We start from the raw sequence: 21,098 nt of genomic DNA, 5'->3' as shown, positions 1-21,098 counted from the left end.
CCCAACAGAAGAAATTTTTGGTTGTCATCACCTGTGGTGGAGGGTGGAGGAGTATTACTACTGGCTCTAGTGTGTAAAAGCCAGGGATGCACTTAAAAATCCTATAATGTACAGGAAATCCTCCCACAACAAAAACTTATTTGGCCAAAATTTCAATAATGCTAAGGTTGAGAAATTCCGTCCTAGAGGTACTAGATGCCTGAGCCAGTGAGAAAGGCTAAAGCATAAGCCCTAGCTTCTATCTTTCTTGATAAATTTGGCATTGAGGGAGCAGAGAGAAAGAGAGCAAGAGAGAGCTCAGGATGTTACAGTTTGGACTTCCATCTGGACCCCCTTGTTTTCAAGATTTGTCTGTGAAGGAGGAGTCACTATAAAGCAGGGTAGAGGGAGGAAGGAATGCTAAGGGGCTGAGCAGTTTACTTGTACCCACTGTTAACCGGTTCTTAACTACCCAGCTTGGCTACAGTGCCTACTCTGATGTTATCTTGGCAACTCTGGCAGTACTAGACTGGCTGCTTTTTCTGCTTCGCTGTGGCATTGGGGTGGACACATGTCCACTTAGGACAATGTTAAAGAGCAAACGGTGCATCTAAAAGTCTCTTTGAAACATATCTTCCTGCCACCATCCGTGGGACTCAGCCATGCTGGGCTCTGGGCTTCTACTTCTCCCTCACATCAGGACCTAAACACCTACTGTTATACCATAGATTTTTAAATGTGTTTATGTTAGTTTCATAAACATAGTTTCAGGCTTTTGTGAAATTTATGAGGAGGGATTTGGAGGAAAAAATTGGTGAGGCTAAGCTAATATTATTTTGTCAGTAACTGGAACTCCCAAATCATTTGAGTTTTAAAACTGTATAGCTGTGTCTGTCTGATAAAACAAACATTAATTTAAAAATAAAAGAACAAGCAAACTGAAGAAACCAAGGGGATGTGCAAAATTTACCATCTGAGTGGTACCAAAGGAGTCTACATTAGTTAGAATTGGTTCAGCTGGAGTAAAAGATTCAGAATAACAGTGGCTTATTCAGGATATAAGTTTAATTTTTTAATATAAGTGTGTGAAGTAGAGATATTTCAACTTATTTTCTCTTGCATGATCTCCATTTCCAAGATTACTTCAGAGTCCAAGATGGTGGCTCCAGCTCTGGTCATCATGTATATGGAAGAACAAAGGGAAAAAGAAGAGGCAAAGAGTGTATGGCTTAGTTTATTTAGTGTTGCTATAAAGGAATATCTGAGGCTGAATAATTTATAAAGAAAAGAGGTTTATTTGGCTCACAGTTCTACAGGTTGTACAGGCATGGCACCAGCATCCGGGTCTGATGAGGGCCTCAGGAAGCTTCCACTCACGGCAGAAGGCAAAGGGAGCCAGTGTGTGCAGAGATCACAGGGTGAGAGAGGAAGCAAGAGAGAGTAGAGGAGGTGCCAGGCTCTTTTTAACAACTAGCTCTCGTAGGAACTAATAGAGTGAGAACACACTCACCCCGAGGGGGAAGGCATTGATCTATTAATGAGGAATCTCAACATGAGGTTTGGAAGGGACAAATATCAAAATTACAGGATTATGTAACTATATTTTAAGAAAGATGTGTTAATTTTCTATTGCAGCATAACAAACCACCCCAAAACTTAGTGGCTTCACATAACAATAACTTATCATATGTTATGATTCTGTGGGTAGATGGCTTTTCATGGTGTTGGCCAGCATTCTGACACAGTTGATAGATCCAAAATGACTGCAACCACATGGCTGGCAAGTTGGCACTGGCTATTAGCTAGGAGCTCAGCCAGGGTCATGGCCTGAAGCCTGCTCTCCTTCATGAGGTTTCTTCCTCACAGTTGCTTGAGCTTCCTTGTAGCATGGAAGTTGTGTTCAAAAAGGATCATTCTGAACATAAGTATGTGGAGAAGAAGGAAACAGAAGCAGCCAATCCTCTTAAGGCCCAAGCTTGGAAGTCCCAAGATGTCCCTGCTACTATATCCTATTGGTCAAAGCAGTCACAGGGCCAGCCCAGAGAAGGGGTGGACATGTTCCACCTCTTGATGTGAGAATGGCATGCACATACAGGGTGAAGGGGAATTGCTGGGGGCCATCTTTGGAGGATAGCAACCATAGAAGCTTCCTGGAAGTTGCCATAGGCCACCCCTGCTTACCTCCCATCAGCCAGAACTAAGTCATATGGCCATACTTAGCTACAAGGGAGACTGGGAGATATAGTTTTTAAACTGAGCAACCATATGCCTACATAAAAACTGTGGGTTCATCCTTTATGGAAGAATGAAGAATATCCAACACAGGCTTGAAATGAGTCATCAAAACATGAATGGCCTGAAGTGGTTATCAGGAACCAGGATGCAAAACCAAGGGTTGGAAAGCCAGGGAGACTAGAAAAAAGAATGGCAAGTTGAGTGGGCAGACAAAATGGCTCACTGCAAGAATACAGTTTAGCAGATCCAATGACAAAGGATACTTTAAAAAATTATATTTTATTCATCAGTGTATCCACTGATTGTCAAATACTTATTGATTCCCGACTACAGACTAGGCACTGGGTTAAGTGCTAGGAATATAACAAGAATAAGACACTGTCCCTATACTCTGGGGCAGATGCAAGGTAAAGGCAAAAATAAAAGACAAGGCTAGCTAGCATACACTTCCACTATTCCCGGTGTAGATGACACTTTATGTGAGTACCATCACATAAGGGTAGAAGCAATACTAAGCAGCAGAGCACCTCCAAGAACCTTTATTCAGAAGAGTGGTAAATACAGTCATGCACCACGTAATGACGTTTTAGTCAACAACAGACTGCATATGTGATGGTGGTTCCATAAGATTATGATGGAGTTGAAAAATCACCTAGTGACATCTTGATGATTCTGACCCTGTGTAAGCCTAGGCTAATGTATGTGTTTGTGTCTTAGTTTTCATTGTTGTTGTTGGAGACAGAGTCTTGCTCTGTCACCCAGGCTGGAATGCAGTGGCACAAACTCGGTTCACCGCAACTGCTGCTTCCTGGGTTCAAGCAATCCTCCCAGTGTGCTGGGACTACAGGCACATACCACCACTCCTGGCTCATTTTTGTATTTTTTGTAGAGACAGAGTTTCACCATGTTGCCCAGGCTGGTCTGAGAGATCTGCCCACCTTGGCCTCCCAAAGTGCTGGGATTACAGACATGAGCCACTGTGCCCCGCCTGTGTCTTAGTTTTTAATAAAAAACATTAAAAAGTAAACAATAAATTCAAAGATTAGAAAAAAGCATATAGAATAAAGATGAAAAAAGAAACTATTTTTGTACAGCTGTATAATGTTTGTTTTAAGCTGTGTTACTACAAGAGTCAAAAAGTTTTTTAAAAAATTAAGCGTATAGGCTACCTGACTTCAAACTATACTACAAGGCTACAGTAACTAAAACAGCATGGTACTGGTACCAAAACAGAGATATAAACCAATGGAACAGAACAGAGCCCTCAGAAATAATGCCATATATCTACAACTACGTGATCTTTGACAGACCTGACAAAAACAAGAAATAGGGAAAGGATTCCCTATTTAATAAATGGTGCTGGGAAAACTGGCTAGCCATATGTAGAAAGCTGAAACTGGATCCCTTCCTTACACCTTATACAAAAATTAATTCCAGATGGAATAAAGACTTAAATGTTAGAACTAAAACCATAAAAACCCTAGAAGAAAACCTAGGCAATCCCATTCAGGACATAGGCATGGGCAAGGACTTCATGTCTAGAACACCAAAAGCAATGGCAACGAAAGCCAGAATTCACAAATGGGATCTAATTAAACTAAAGAGCTTCTGCACAGCAAAAGAAACTACCATCAGAGTGAATAGGCAACCTACAGAATGGGAGAAAATTTTTGCAATCTACTCAACTGACAAAGGGCTAATATCCAGAATCTACAAAGAACTCAAACAAATTTACAAGAAAAAAAACAAGCAACCCCATCAACAAGTGGGCGAAGGATATAAACAGACGCTTCTCAAAAGAAGACATTTATGCAGCCAAAAGACACATGAAAAAATGCTCATCATCACTGACGATCAGAGAAATGCAAATCAAAACCACAATGAGCTACTATGTCACACCAGTTAGAATGGCGATCATTAAAAAGTCAGGGGAACAACAGGTGCTGGAGAGGATGTGGAGAAATAGGAACACTTTTACACTGTTGGTGGGACTGTAAACTAGTTCAACCATTGTGGAAGTCAGTGTGGCAATTCCTCAGGGATCTAGAACTAGAAATATCATTTGACCCAGCCATCCCATTACTGGGTATATACCCAAAGGATTATAAATCATGCTGCTATAAAGACACATGCACGTGTATGTTTATTGCAGCACTATTCACAATAGCAAAGACTTGGAACCAACCCAAATGTCCAACAATGATAGACTGGATTAAGAAAATGTGGCACATATACACCATGGAATACTATGCAGCCATAAAAAATGATGAGTTCATGTCCTTTGTAGGGACATGGATGAAGCTGGAAACCATCATTCTCAGCAAACTATCACAAGGACAAAAAACCAAACACAGCATGTTCTCACTCATAGGTGGGAATTGAACAATGAGAACTCATGGACACAGGAAGGGGAACATCACACACCAGGGCCTGTTGTGGGGTGGGGGGAGGGGGGAGGGACAGCATTAGGAGATATACCTAATGTAAATGATGAGTTAATGGGTGCAGCACACCAACATGGCACATGTATACATATGTAACAAACCTGCATGCTGTGCACATGTACCCTAAAACTTAAAGTATAAGAATAATAAAAAAAGAAGCTTCCTTTGGAGGTAATGGCTGGTCTGATAATTCACCTGGGGAAATTAGGCTACTAGCTGCAGTCATTGCCTGCCTCACCACTGAAGGATCTGTAAAATACCATAGAATTTCACCTATTTTGATTTTGGCTGTATGATATCCGGGACAAAGGGGGCAATATATGAATAAATATGAGTGATTAAAAAAAATTGAGTGTATAAAGTAAAAAAGTTACAGTAAAGTAAGGTTGATGTATTATTGAAGAAAGAAAAATATTATTTATAAATTTAGTGTGGCCTAAGTGTATAGTGTTCATAAAGTCTACAGTAGTGTACAGTACTGTCCTAGGCCTTCCCATTCACTCACCACTCACTGACTCACCCAGACCAACTTCCAGTCCTACCAGCTCCATTATAAGTGTACTATAGAGGTGTACCATTTTCATCTTTTATCCAGCATTTTTTCTGTATCCTTTTTATGTTTAGATGTGTTTAGATACACAAATATTTTCCATGAGGTTATAATCATCTACAGTATTCAGTACAGTCACATGCTGTACATGTTTGTTGCATGGGAGCAATAAGCCATATAACATAACCTAGGTGCGTAGTAGACTATACCATCTAGGTTTATGTAAGTGTACTCTATGATGTTTGAACAACAATGAAATTGCCTAACAACAGATTTCTCAGAACTATCCCTGTCATTAAGTGATGCATCACTATATTTTCATATTTGATAGCATTTCCTAAATCCTCATCTTAAATGCCAAATTCCCATAATAGCTATTCCTCAGATTCCAAACTATTAATAGTTAAGCCCCATTGTAGACATCTGTGAGTTTGGTTTTTTCAATATCTATTCACACTCATTTCATTAAAAACAGCTGTGTTTTTCCTTTGATAGCATCTACTTTATGTGTTTGAACTATATGGAATTGACCCCATCACTAGTTCCAGTGAGTGGACATGCGGCTCAAACCTAGCTAGAGCTTTTGTTAGAATTCTTGCAAAGGGCAGTTGAAACTGATGGGTGAAATGCTGAATCTACCGGAAGTCACCTGAGAGGGGAGCCTGGCTGAGACTGAATCCCACGTGGATGGAAACAGCTGACAAATGAAGGGGAGAGTCCCAGTGATGCCTTTGGAGTGGCTGGGTTTAACCATGCCTGAAGTTGGCTCTTCTCTTAGGATTTTCAGATATGTCAGCCAAAAAATTCACCTTTTTTTTGCTTAAAGCAATTCTAGTTTTGTTTCTGCTACTCACAACCAAAAGAGTCCCAACCAAATCATTCCTTATATGATAGACTTTCAGCGTACCCTGTTCTTCTCCTTTGAGCCGCTTGGCCAAACATCTCCTAATTACTGTTACAGTGTTCATCTCCCCATGGATCCCTCTCCTCTGACCAGGTGCTCATTGAGCTGAATGGTGACTGGGACTGCCTACACTATTTCCACAGTGTTGACCTGTTTGTCTCCCTCTTTTTAAACACAAGGCTGAATTCCCCAGGTTAAATGCTTGTATGTGCTACCCCCATCCACTGCCTTCTCTCTGGCAATGGCTGATGACTGTGAATACCACCTCTCCACACTCCATCAGGCTAAAACCATCTCAGCCATGCTCTGTCACTTAGAAAACTTCCTGGCTCATAATAAATGCTCAATAAACATTAGTGACACTGATTATAATTAAAATCAATAGTACAAAAGTATAACTAAGGATAACTTTAATTATTCTTCTTTTCCTTTATTCTGCACTTAACAATGTATGCTGAAGCTTATGACATTTTATATCTATGTGGTGCTGCTTTGGTCTTTACATTTTTTAATGGTATTTTTTCTTATACATGTTCCATAATTAATTGATTTCATCTTTGTTGGCATTAGGTTATTTCTAATCTTTTTTTCTGGTATAAACAATGCAACAGTAAATCTCCTTGTACATTCATTTTCTGTACATGTGTAACTGCGTAGGATATATTACTAGACATTTAATTGCTGAATGAAAGAGAACATTTATTTTAGAATCAGCTTATCAAGTACCACGAACACCTCATTAGAATCGTTGTTGGATTTTGTTAAGTCTATAGATCATTTTGGGGAGAATTGTCATGTTTATGTTACTGTCTTTCTATCCATCAACATAACAGTTCTACTTAAATATTTTATCTTAGTTAATGTCAAAGAACAAGGCTGAAAGAAGTCAGTATCTTCTAAAGAAAAAAAGGAAGGAAGAGAACCTTGACCTACTAGCTATTAGGGCTGACTGTGAAGCTCCAGTAGTTGATAAATTTGTCTCTATAAGAACTGTTCAATAAAATACATTGGAAAGAAAGTGAAAATGCAAGTAATTAGCTATCTGCTTTAATGATTGCTACATCAACATTGTGTCCCCACCAAATCTCATCTTGAATTGTAACTCCCACAGTTCCCACATGTCGTGAGAGGAACCCGGTGAAAGGTGATTTAATTATCGGGACGGGTCTTTCCTGCGCTGTTCTCATGATAGTGAATGAGTCTCACAGGGTCTGATGGTTTTAAAAATGGGAGTTTCCCTGTACAAACTCTCTTCTCTTCTCTCATCTGCCACCATGTGAGACGTGCCTTTCACCTTCTAGTGTGAGGCCTCCGCAGCCACATGGAACTGTAAGTCCAATAAACCTTTTTTTTTTTTTTTGTAAATTGCCCAGTCTCAGGTATGTCATTATCAGCAGCATGAAAACGAACTAATACATCATTGGTTTTTCAATTTTATATGTGATTTACCTGTAATGCTAGCACTTTGGGAGGCAGAGGTGGGAGGATTACTTGAGGCCAGGAGTTCAAGACCAGCCTGGGCAACATAGTGAGGCTCCATTTTCTACAAAAATTTTAAAAAGTAGCTGTGTGTGTGGTGTGCACCTGTAGTCCCAGCTACACTTGAGCCCAGGAGGTTGAGGCTACAGTGAGCCATGACTGTGCCACTGCACTCTTGCCTGGGCAACATAGTGAGATCCTGTCTCAAAAATCAACAAATAAAAATCCAACTGGATAGCTGCTTTTTTATACCAGGTAACTTATTTCATGGTTTGAATGGTGGTGTCTAAAAAGGTGTGCCCACTTCCTTACCCCCATAGTCTGTGAATGTGACCTTATTTGGACAAAGTAGATGTAGTCAAGTTAAGGATCTTGAGATAAGATCATCTTGGACTATTCAGATGGGCACTAAATCCAATGACAAATGTCCTTCTAAGAGATAACCAAAAGAGAGAGAACAGAACGCCATGTGAAAGAGGTAGAGATTGGAGTTATGCAGTTACATGCTGTATTAGTCCATTCTCACACTGCTATAAAGAACTAACTGAGACTGGGTAATTTATGAAGAAAAGAGGTTTAATTGACTCACAGGTCTGCAGGCTGTATAGGAAGCATGCTTGGGGAGGCCTCAGAACACTTATAAAATAATCATGCTAGAAGGTAAAAGGGAGGCAAGCACGTCTTCACGTGGCCAGCAGGAGAGAGAGAGCGAGCAAAAGGAGAGGTGCTACACACTTTTAAACAATCAGATCTCGTGAGAACTCTCTCAGGAGAAAGCACTAAGGGGATGGTGCTAAACTATTAGCAACCATCCCCACGATCCAATCGCCTCCCACCAGGCCCCATCTCCAACAATGGGAATTACAATTCAACATGAGATTTGGATGGGGACACACTGCCAAACCATATCACATGCCAAGGAATGCCTGAAGCCACCAGAAGCTGGAAGAGGCAAGGAAGGATCTTCCCCTAGAATCCTGAGGGAGCACTTTCCCTGCTGATATCTTGATTTTGGACTTCTGCCTTCCAGAATTGTGAGAGAATGAGCTTTGGTTATTTAAGCCACCAAGTTTATAATAATTTCTTATGGCAGCCCTAGGAAATTAATATAATCTATAATATAATTAATCTATAAATATAATCTATTATTAATATAACTAATGTTTATTTATATTTATTGGCATAAATAGCATAGACTTTTAACAACTTTTAACACTTATTTTTGTGTTTTGCTTACCATCCTTTTTATTTGCTGCTTTACTTTCTTCCCTGATTTCTGTTGGATTGAAAATGTTTTGTATATTTTTTCACCCTCCTCTGTGCTGATTGTCTTTCTATTCTTCCAGAGGTTTCCCATGAAGTTTTAGCTATATATTCAATTAATCTTTGTATAAAAAGACTAAAGTCACAAATGAAACAAGCTTAACACACTTTAACTGCCCATTGACTATAACTCCCACTTAATGTTGATTTACGGATTTTACCTTTTTTTGGCGGGGGGATGGAGTCTCACTCTGTCACCCAGGCCAGAGTGCAGTGGCACAATCTAGGCTCACTGCAACCTCTGCCTCCTGGGTTCAAGTGATTCTCCTGCCTCAGCCTCCCAAGTAGCTGGGATTATAGGCATGAGCCATCATGCTTGGCTAGTTTTTGTATTTTTAGTAGAGACGGGGTTTCACTATGTTGGCCAGGCTGGTCTTGAACTCCTGACCTCAAGTGATCTGCCTACCTTGGCCTCCCAAAGTGCTGGGATTACAGGTGTGAGCCACCGCGCCTGGCCGACACTGAGATTTCTTAATTTGCTTTGGAATTTTGTCTGTAGCCTCATTTTGAGAAGAATCTCCCTCTAACAAACCCCCTTTTCCTCCTCCCTGTCCCTCTCTTTCTCTCTCTGTTCACTCTCCTACCAGCCAGCCTATTGGCACCGTTCCACTTAGTCCACTCCATCCTGAACCAGGTTTCATTTGGCAATGTAAGGTTCCTGCCCCATGGTGATATTGAAGAAATGGCAAATATGCTACCAAGCTGTCAGAGGACAGTTTAATTTAATTCCTGGTCATAAACTGTGCTGTGTTCTTTTCCTCCCTAACACCACAGTTCATGCAAGCCTTGCTCCAGGCAACAATAATTTTTAAGCCTTCTTTCACAGGTAGAAGAACCCTGGGTGCTGCCTCTGGTTTCTGGTGACAATGGTGGCTGCATAGGACAGCTTTTAGACCAAGTTACCCTGCAGAGGACAAATGCCCATCTACCATGGCAAGCTGAGCCTAGTTTGCCTGTTTCATTACCTGGGATTGTTACTCTGTGTTACTGTCCTATTTGCCAGTGCATGGATCTGTTTAATTTGTTTTTGAGCCTGCATATCTTAATTTTCTGTTTGTATATTTTATCCATTATTGAGATCTCTTTGGGTACCTCAATACAGGGACTTACAAAGCTGTATTATTTAATGTTCCAGAAAAAAATGTTGAAGTACTAGAATTCCTAAAATTTTGGTTCAATTCCTGCTGGCAAACCATGTGGGATGTTTTGGTGGAAGATACCTGGCTAAATCTTTGAAAGTTTATTTTGTCTATGTAATTGATCTGTTGAGATTTTTTTCTCTAAGCTGAATATTATACAGTATTTTGTTTTTTCCTGAAAAATCACCTCATTCCATTTGAAGTTTTATTTTATTGTCAGTTGACATATAATAATTGTACATATTTAGGGGGTACAGTGTGATGTTTTGATACATGCATATAATGTGCAATTAGGCTAATTTACATATCAATCACCTCAAACGTATCATTTCTTTCTGGTAAGAGCATTCAAAATCCTCTCTTCTAGCTATTTTGAAATATACTATGTATTATCTTTAACTACAGTCACCTGACTGTGCAATAGAAGACTAGAATTTATTCCTCCTATCTAAGTATAACTTTGTATCTGTTGACTAACCTCATCCTATCCCTCCAAACCTCCTACCTTTCACAGCCTCTGGTAACCACTATTGTTCTACTTCTATGAGATCAATTTTTTTTTTAGATTCCACATATGAGTAATCATTCAATATTTGTCTTTCTGTGCCTGGCTTACTTCACTTAACATAATATGCTCCAGGTTCATCTGTGCTGCCAAAAATGACAGAAATTCATTCTTTTTCATGGCTGAATAGTATTCCATTGTACAAATACACTACATTTCCTTATTCATTCATTCATTGATAGACACTTAGGTTGATTCCATATATTGGCTATTGTGAATAGTGTGCAACAATAAACGTGGGAGTGAAGACATCTCTTAGACTTACTGATTTCATTTCCTTTGGATACATACCCAGTGATGGGATTGCTGGATCATATGGTAGTTCTATTTTTAATTTTTTGAGCAACCTCCATACTGTTTTTCATAATGGCTGTGCTAATTTATGTTCCCACTAACAGTGTGTGAGGGTTCCCTTTTCTCCTTATCCATACCAACACTTACCTTTTGTCTTTTTGGTAATAGCCATTCTAACAGGCGTAAGGTGGAGAGATCGTTCCAAGATGGCCAAATAGGAACAGCTCCGGTCTACAGCTCCCAGCGTGAGTGATGCAGAAGATGGGTGATTTCTGCATTTCCAACTGAGGTACCGGGTTCGTCTCATTGGGACTGGTTGGATAGTGGGTGCAGCCCACAGAATGTGAGCCAAAGCAGGGTAGGGCATCACCTCACCTGGGAAGTGCAAGGCGTCAGGGAATTCCCTTTCCTAGCCAAGGGAAGCCGTGACAGACGGTACCTGGAAAATCGGGACACTCCCGCCCTAACACTACACTTTTCAAATGGTCTTAGCAAACGGCACACCAGGACATTATATCCTACGCCTGCCTCGGCAGGTCCCACTCACACAGAGCCTTGCTTACTGCTAGCACAGCAGTCTGAGATCGAACTGGGAGGCTGCAGCGAGGCTGGGGGAGGGGCATCCACCACTGCTGAGGCTTGACGAGGTAAACAAAGCAGCAGGGAAGCTCAAACTGGGTGGAGCCCACTGCAGCTCAACAGCAGAGGCCTGCCTGCCTCTGTAGACTCCACCTCTGGGGGCAGGGCACAGCTGAACAAAAGGCAGCAGAAATATCTGCAGACTTAAACGTCCCTGTCTGACAGCTTTGAAGACAGCAGTAGTTCTCCCAGCATGGAGTTTGAGATCTGAGAATGGACACACTGCCTCCTCAAGCGGCTACCTGACCCCCGAGTAGCCTAACTGGGAGACACCTCCCAGTAGGGGCCAACTGACACCTCATGCAGCTGAGTGCCCTTCTGAGGTGAAGCTTCCAGTGGAAGGATCAGGCAGCAACATTTACTGTTCTGCAGCCTCCGCTGGTGATACCCAGGCAAACGGTCTGGAGTGGACCTCCAGCAAACTCCAACAGACCTGCAGCTGAGGGTACTGACTGATAGAAGGAAAACTAACAAACAGAAAGGAATAGTGTCAACATCAACAAAAAGGACATCCACACCAAAACACCATCTGTAGGTCACCATCATCAAAGACCAAAGGTAGATAAAACCACAAAGATGGTGATAAACCAGAACAGAAAAGCTGAAAATTCTAAAAACCAGAGCACCTCTTCTTCTCCAAAGGATCGCAGCTCCTCACCAGCAACAGAACAAAGTTGGACGGAGAATGTCTTTGACAAGTTGACAGAAGTAGACTTCAGAAGATCGGTAATAACAAACTTCTCCAAGCTAAAGGAGGATGTTCAAAACCCATCGCAAGGAAGCTAAAAACCTTGAAAAAAGATTAGAAGAATGGCTAACTCGAATAAACAGTGTAGAGATGACCTTAAATGACCTGATGGAGCTGAAAACCATGGCACAAGAACTACATGACTCATGCACAAGCTTCAGTAGCCGATTCAATCAAGTGGAAGAAAGGGTATCAGTGATTGAAGATCAAATGAACGAAATGAAGTGAGAAGTTTAGAGAAAAAAGAGTAAAAAGAAATGAACAAAGCCTCCAAGAAATATGGGACTATATGAAAAGACCAAATATATGTTTGACTGGTGCACCTGAAAGTGACGGGGAGAATGGAACCAAGTTAGAAAACACTCTTCAGGATATTATCCAGGAGAACTTCCCCAACCTAGCAAGGCAGGCTAACATTCAAATTCAGGAAATACAGAGAACTCCACAAAGATACTCCTCGAGAAGAGCAACCCCAAGACACATAATTGTCAGATTCACCAAGGTTGAAATGAAGGAAAAAATGTTAAGGGCAGCCAGAGAGAAAGGTCGGGTTACCCACAAAGGGAAGCCCATCAGACTAACAGCAGATCTCTTGGCAGAAACTCTACAAGCCAGAAGAGAGTGGGGACAAATATTCAACATTCTTAAAGAAAAGAATTTTCAACCCAGAATTTCATATCCAGCCAAACTAAGCTTCATAAGTGAAGGAGAAATAAAATTCTTTACAGACAAGCAAATGCTGAGAGATTTTGTCACCACCAGGCCTGCCTTACAAGAGCTCCTAAAGGAAGCACTAAACATGGAAAGGAACAGCCAGTACCAGCCACTGTAAAAACATGCCAAATTGTAAAGACCATCGATGCTATGAAGAAAATGCATCAACTAAGGAGCAAAATAACCAGATAACATCATAATGACAGGATAAAATTCACACATAACAATATTAACCTTAAATGTAAATGGGCTAAGTGCCCCAGTTAAAAGACACAGACTGGCAAATTGGATAAGGAGTCAAGACCCATCAGTGTGCTGCATTCAGGAAACCCATCTCACGTGCAGAGACACACATAGGCATAAAATAAAGGGATGGAGGAAGATCTACCAAGCAAATGGAAAACAAAAAAAAGCAGGGGTTGAAATCCTAGTCTCTGATAAAACAGACTTTAAACCAACAAAGATCAAAAGAGACAAAGAAGGCCATTACATAATGGTAAAGGGATCAATTCAACAAGAAGAGCTAACTATCCTAAATATATATGCACCCAATATAGGAGCACCCAGATTCATAAAGCAAGTTCTTAGAGACCTACAAAGAGACTTAGGCTCCCACACAATAATAATGGGAGACTTACCCTCCCACTGTCAACATTAGACAGATCAAAGAGACAGAAAGTTAACAAGGATATCCAGGACTTGAACTCAGCTCTGGACCCAGCAGACCTAATAGACATTTACAGAACTCTCCACCCCAAATCAATAAAATATACATTCTTCTCAGCACCACATCACATTTACTCCAAAACTGACCACATAGTTGGAAGTAAAGCATTCCTCAGCAAATGTAAAAGAACAGAAATGATAACAAACTGTCTCTCAGACCACAGTGCAATCAAATTAGAACTCAGGATTAAGAAACTCACTCAAAACCGCACAACTACATGGAAACTAAACAACCTGCTCCTGAATGACTACTGGGTACATAACGAAATGAAGGCAGAAATAAAGATGTTTTTTGAAACCAATGAGAACAAAGACACAACGTACCAGAATCTCTGGGACACATTTAAAGCAGTGTGTAGAGGGAAATTTATAGCACTAAATGCCCACAGGAGAAAGTAGGAAAGATCTAAAATTGACACCCTAACATCACAATTGAAAGGACTAGAGAAGCAAGAGCAAACATATTCAATAGCTAGCAGAAGGCAAGAAATGACTAAGATTAGAGCAGAACTGAAGGAGATAGAGATACAAAAAACCCATCAAAAAAATCAATGAATCCAGCATCTGGTTTTTTGAAAAGACCAACAAAATAGATAGACCACTAGCAAGACTAATAAAGAAGAAAAGAGAGAAGAATCAAATAGACGCAATAAAAAATGATAAAGGGGATATCACCACCGATCCCACAGAAATACAAACTACCATCAGAGAATACTACAAACGCCTCTAAGCAATAAACTAGAAAACATAAAAGAAATGGATAAATTCCTGGACACATACACCCTCCCAAGACTAAACAAAGAAGAAATTGAATCCCTGAATAGACCAATATCAGGCTCTGACATTGAGGAATAGCCTACCAACCAAAAAAAGTCCAGGACCAGATGGATTCACAGCTGAATTCTACCAGAGGTACAAAGAGGAGCTGGTAACATTTCTTCTGAAACTATTCCAATCAAAAGAAAAAAGAAGGAATCCTCCCTCACTCATTTTATGAGGCTAGCGTCATCCTGATACCAAAGCCTGGCAGAGGCAAAACAAAAAAAGAGAATTTTAGACCAATATCCCTGATGAAGATCAATGTAAAAATCCTCAATAAAATACTGGCAAACCGAATCCAGCAGCACATCAAAAAGCTTATCCACCATGATCAAGTGGGCTTCATCCCTGGGATGCAAGGCTGGTTCAACATATGCAAATCAATAAATGTAATCCATCATATAAACAGAACCAAAGACAAAATCCACATGATTATCACAATAGATGCAGAAAAGGCCTTCAACAAAATTCAACAGCCCTTCATGCTAAAAACTCTCAATAAACTAGGTATTGATGGGATGTATCTCAAAATAGTAAGAGCTATTTATGACAATCCCACAGCCAATATCATACTGAATGGGCAACAACTGGAAGCATTCCCTTTGAAAACTGGCACAAGACAAGGATGCCCTCTCTCACCACTCCTATTCAACATAGTGTTGAAAGTTCTGGCCAGGGCAATCAGGCAGGAGAAAGAAATAAAGGGTATTCAGTTAGGAAAAGGGGAAGTAAAATTGTCCCTGTTTGCAGATGACATGATTGTATATTTAGAAAACCCCATTGTCTCAGCCCCAAATCTCCTTAAGCTGATAAGCAACTTCAGCAAAGTCTCAGGATACAAAATCAATGTGCAAAAATCACAAGCATTCCTATACACCAATAACAGACAAACAGAGAACCAAATCATGAGTGAACTCCCATTCACAATTGCTTCAAAGAGAATAAAATATCTAGGAGTCCAACTTACAAGGGATGTGAAGGATCTCTTCAAGGAGAACTACAAACCAGTGCTCAACAAAATAAAAAAGGACCCAAACAAATGGAAGAACATTCCATGCTCATGGATAGGAAGAATCAATATCATTAAAATGGCCATACTGCCCAAGGTAATTTATAGATTCAATGCCATCCCCATCAAGCTACCAACGACTTTCCACACAGAATTGGAAAAAACTACTTTAAAGTTCATATGGAACGAAAAAAGAGCCTGCACTGCCAAGACAATCCTAAGCCAAAAGAACAAAGCTGAAGGCATCACACTATCTGACTTCAAACTATACTACAAGGCTACAGTAACTACAACAGCATAGTACTGGTACCCAAAACAGAGATATAGACCAATGGAACAGAACAGAGCCCTCAGAAATAATACCACACACCTACAACCATCTGATCTTTGACAAACCTGACAAAAACAAGAAGTGGGGAAAGGATTCCCTATTTAATAAATGGTGCTGGGAAAACTGGCTAGCCATACGTAGAAAGCTGAAACGGATCCCTTCCTTACACCTTGTACAAAAATTGATTCAAGATGGGTTAAAGACTTAAATGTTAAACCTAAAACCATAAAAGCCCTAGAAGAAAACCTAGGCAATACCATTCAGGACATAGGCATGGGAAGGACTTCATGACTAAAACAAAAGCAATGGCAACAAAAGCCAAAATAGACAAATGGGATCTAATTAAACTAAAGAGCTTCTGCACAGCAAAAGAAACTACTGTCAGAGTGAATAGGCCACCTACAGAATGGGAGAAAATTTTTGCAATCTACTCATCTGACAAAGGGCTGATATCCAGAATCTACAAAGAACCTAAACAAATTTCCAAGAAAAAAATCAAACAACCTTATCAAAAAGTGGGCAAAGGATATGAACAGACACTGCTCAAAAGAAGATATTTACATGAAAGACACATGAAAAAATGCTCATCATCACCGACCATCAGAGAAATGCAAATCAAAACCACAATGAGCTACTATGTCACACCAGTTAGAATGGTAATCATTAAAAAGTCAGGAAACAACAGGTCCTGGAGAGGATGTGGAGAAACAGGAACACTTTTACACTGTTGGTGGGACTGTAAACTAGTTCAACCATTGTGGAAGTCAGTGTGGTGATTCCTCAAGGATTTAGAACTAGAAATACCATTTGACCCAGTAATCCCATTACTGGGTATATACCCAAAGGATTATAAATCATGCTACTATAAAGACACATGCATATGTATGTTTATTGCCCCACTATTCACAATAGCAAAGACTTGGAACCAACCCAAATGTCCATCAGTGATAGACTGGATTAAGAAAATGTGGCACATATACACCATGGAACACCACGCAGCCATAAACAAGGATGAGTTCATGTCCTTTGCAGGGACATGGATGAAGCTGGAAACCATCATTCTCAGCAAACTATCGCAAGGACAGAAAACCAAACATCGCATATTCTCACTCATAGGTGGGAATTGAACAATGAGAACACATGGACACAGTGTGGGGAACATCACACACAAGGGCCTGTCGTGCGGTTGGGGGAGGGGGGAGGGATAGCATTAGGAGAAATACCTAGTGTAAATGACGAGTTAATGGGTGCAGCACACCAACATGGCACATGTATACATATGTAACAAACCTGCACGTTGTGCACATGTACCCTAGAACTTGAAATATAATAAAAAAAAAAAAAACAAGTGTAAAGTGACATCTTGAATTTCTCTGATGATTCATGATGTTTCGTACTTTTCCATATACCTGTTAGCATTTGTATGTGTTCTCTGGAAAAATGTCTATTCAGATCTTTTTCTTTTTTTTTCTTTTTCCTTTTTTTTTTTTGAGAAGTAGTCTCATTCTGTCGCCAGACTGGAGCGTAGTGGTGCAGTCTCAGCTCACTGCAGCCTCTGCCTCCCAGGTTCAAGCGATTCTCCTGCCTCAGCCTCCTGAGTAGCTGGGACTACAGGCACATGCCACCACGCCCAGCTAATTTTTTTGTATTTTAGTAGAGATGGGGTTTCACCATGTTGGCCAGGATGGTCTTGATCTCTTGACCTTGTGATTCACCCACCTCAGCCTCCCAAAGTGCTGGGATTACAGGCATGAGCCACCGTGCCTGGCCCCTTTGCCTGTATTTAAATCAGAATGGTGTGGGTTTGTTTTGTTTTTTTGTTTTTTTTTGGCTATTGAGTTGTTTGCATTTCTAACATATTCTGGATATTAGTCCCTTGTGAGATGCATAGTTTGCAAATATTTTTCTCTTATTCTGTAGATTGTCTCTTCACTTTGTTGATGATTTCCTTTGATGTGAAGGAACTTTTTAGTTTGATGTAATTCCATTTGTCTATATTTGCTTTTGTTACCTATGCATTTGGAGTCTTATAAAAAAAGTATTTGCCCATACCAATGTCATGAAACATTTACTCTATGTTTTCTTCTAGTAGTTTTATAGTTTGCCATCTTACATTTAAGTCTTTAATCCATTTTGAGTTGATTTGGATAGGTGGTGAGAAACAGGAGTCTAGTTTCATTCTTCTGCATACGGCTATCCAGTTTACCCAGCATCATTTACTGAAGAAACTATCTCATCTCCAGTATTTGTTCTTGGTGTCTTTGCCAGAAATCATTTGGCTATAAATGTATGGATTTATTTCTGGGTTCTCTATTCCATTCTATTTGTCTATGTGCCTGTTTTTTTTTTTTTTTTTGAGACGGAGTCTCGCTCTGTCGCCCGGCTGGAGTGCAGTGGCGCGATCGCGGCTCACTGCAAGCTCCGCATCCCAGGTTTGCGCCATTCTCCTGCCTCAGCCTCCTGAGTAGCTGGGACTACAGGCGCCCGCCACCATGCCCGGCTAATTTTATTCTATTTTTTAGTAGAGACGGGGTTTCACCGTGTTAGCCAGGATGGTCTCGATCTCCTGACCTCGTGATCTGCCCGCCTCGGCCTCCCAAAGTGCTGGGATTACAGGCGTGAGCCACCGCGCCCGGCCTATGTGCCTGTTTTTATGCCAGTTCCATGATCTTTTGGTTACTATTGCTTTGTGGTATATTTTGAAGTCAAGTAGTGTGATGCCTCTAGCTTTGCTTTTTTTTTTCTCAAGATTGTTTTGACCATTTGAGGTCATTCATACAAATTTTAGGATGTCTTGATATTTATGTGAAGAATGTCATCAGTATTTTGATAGGGACTGCATGGAATCTGTAGATCACTCTGAATACTGTGGATATTTTCACAATAGTAATTATTCCAATCAACAAACATGGGATAGCTTTCCATTTATTTGTATTCTCTTCAAATTTTTTAAATTAATGCTTTAGAGTTTTCATTGTAGAGCTCTTTCACCTCCTTGGTTAAATTTATTCCTGGGAGTTTTTTAGCTAATATAAATGGAGTTGCTTTTTAAATTTCTTTTACAGATAGTTTGATACTGGTATATAAAAATGCCACAGGTTTTTGTACATTGATCTTATATCCTGTAACTTTACTGAATTTGTTTATTAGTTCTAAGATTTTTGGTGATGTCTGTAGAGTTTTCTATAAGATTATGTTATCTACAAACAAAGTCAGTTTGACTTCCTCCTTTCCAGTTTGGATATCCTGTATTTCTTTCTGTCACCTAATTGCCCTAAGACTTCTGGTACTATGTTGAATAAAAGTGGTGAAAGTGGGCATCCTTGTCTTGTTCCAGATTTTAGAGGAAAAGCTTTTTTTTTGCCACTTAAAACATAAGATTCATATAATTTTTTAGTTTACCCTCAGATTATTTTTATCATCTCTATGACTTTGTGTTTTTATGCTTTTTCATTTTCTTGATTAGGTTCTTATTTTTATCTAGAAAATTCCTCTTATTTTTTAGACCAATTTAACATTTTAGTACATTAAATTCTGTCTTTACATTAGTTTTTCTTTCTGTTTTTGTTTTCTATCTTGTTAATTTATTTTAATCCTTAATTATTTATTACTATTAATGTCTTTGGCTATGAATTTTTCTCTATACAACTTTGGTCCTATCTCATAAGTTCAAGGAAATATTTTTATTATTGTCATTTTCTAATTATTCTGGCTTTTTGTTTTGATTTCCTCTTTGGTTGAATAGTTGTGGTAGTTTTTTGTTTTCTGTTTTCTAGTTTTATCATTTGACCTTTCTTGCATTGTGACTGGATACTGTTGTGTTTTGCATGGCTTCTGAGAAGATACTGACTACTTGCTTTGGTTGTGTAGAGTTCAATACATTAAACTTTCCTAAAGTATTTTATTTAGGCCTTCAATGAGCTTATTTATTTTTAAATGATATCTACATAGACTGAGAGATATTAAGTATCCTACTTCTATTTCTTTTTTTTTTCTTTTTTGAGATGGAGTTTCCCTCTTGTTGCCCAGGCTGGAGTGCAGTGGTGCAATCAGCTCGCTGCAACCTCCACCTCCCGAGTTCAAGCGATTCTCCTGCCTCAGCCTCCCGAGTAGCTGGGATTACAGGGGCACACCACCATGCCCAGCTAATTTTTTGTATTTTTAGTAGAGATGAGGTTTCATCATGTTGGCCAGGCTGGTGTCAAACTCCTGACCTCAGGTGATCCACCCGCCTCAGCCTCCCAAAGTGCTGGGATTACAGGCCTGAGCCACTGCGCCTGGCCCCTACTTCTATTTCTACCTCTTCTTTTATTTCCTTATATTTTTGCTTTATGAATTTAGATGATATGTATTTGGTGTATGAATAAGTATAAATGCAAGGCCTTTATTTCACAGTTTACCTATTATTAAAAATTGCCTTTACTCATCCCATATGCTTTTTGCTCTAAGTTTTATTGAGTGATAATTTTTGCTTTCTTTGTTTATATTTCTCTAAATTTTGCCCTGTATCTCTATGATATGGTTTGGATGTCTATCCCCTCCAAATCTCATGTTAAAATGCAATCACCAGTGTTGGAGGTGGGGCCTGGTGGGAGGTGTTTGGGTCATGCAAACACCTCATGAATTGCTTAGTGCCATCTCCTTGGTTATAAATGAGTTCTTGCTCTGGTAGTTCACACAAGATCTTGTTATTTAAAAGAACATGTCACCTCCCATCTCTTTCTGTCTTGCTCCCACTCTTGCCATGTGATGTATCTGCCCTCACTTTGCCTTCTGCCATGTTTGCAAGCTTCCTGAGGCCCTCACCAGAAGCTGAGCAGATAATGGTGCCATGCTTGTAGAGCCTGCAGAACCATGAGACAATTTAACCTCTCTTCTTTACAAATTACCCAGTCTCAGGTATCCCTTTATCATAATGCAAGAATGGCCTAATACAGAAAATTGGTACTGAGAGTGGGGTGTTACTATAAACATACCTGACAGTGTGGAAGAAACTTTGGAACTGGGTAACAGGCAGAGGTTGGTAGAGTTCTGAGGGGCTCAGAAGAAGACAGGAAGATGAGGGAAACTTTGGAACTTCTTAGAGATTGGTTAAATGGTTGTGACCAAAATACTGATAGAAATATTGACAATGAAGGGCAGGCTGACAAAGTCTCAGATGAGAAAGTTACTGGTAACTGGAGCAAAGGTCACCCTTGTT

General features: G+C 40.0%; 1 long non-coding RNA gene across 1 annotated transcript in view, besides 1 other annotated feature; it reads left to right on the top strand.

Annotated features, from left to right (window-relative positions):
• Positions 1 to 21,098, top strand: part of LOC100287944 (uncharacterized) — a 278,422-nt gene that overhangs the window by 211,672 nt on the left and 45,652 nt on the right. The window lies entirely within an intron of this gene.
• Positions 11,480 to 11,981: an enhancer, noted in NCBI's record as "H3K4me1 hESC enhancer chr12:106944957-106945458 (GRCh37/hg19 assembly coordinates)". NCBI's record gives its function as "activates a minimal SCP1, AML or CMV promoter by ChIP-STARR-seq in primed H9 embryonic stem cells {active_cell/tissue: H9 hESC(primed)}" and the evidence as "EXISTENCE:reporter gene assay evidence [ECO:0000049][PMID:30033119]".

This window comes from Homo sapiens, chromosome 12 (genome assembly GCF_000001405.40).
Source record: "Homo sapiens chromosome 12, GRCh38.p14 Primary Assembly".
NCBI classification, from domain to species: Eukaryota; Metazoa; Chordata; class Mammalia; order Primates; family Hominidae; genus Homo; species Homo sapiens.
Note: the sequence above shows the minus strand (reverse complement) of the source record. Positions and strands in the feature narration are given on the sequence as shown.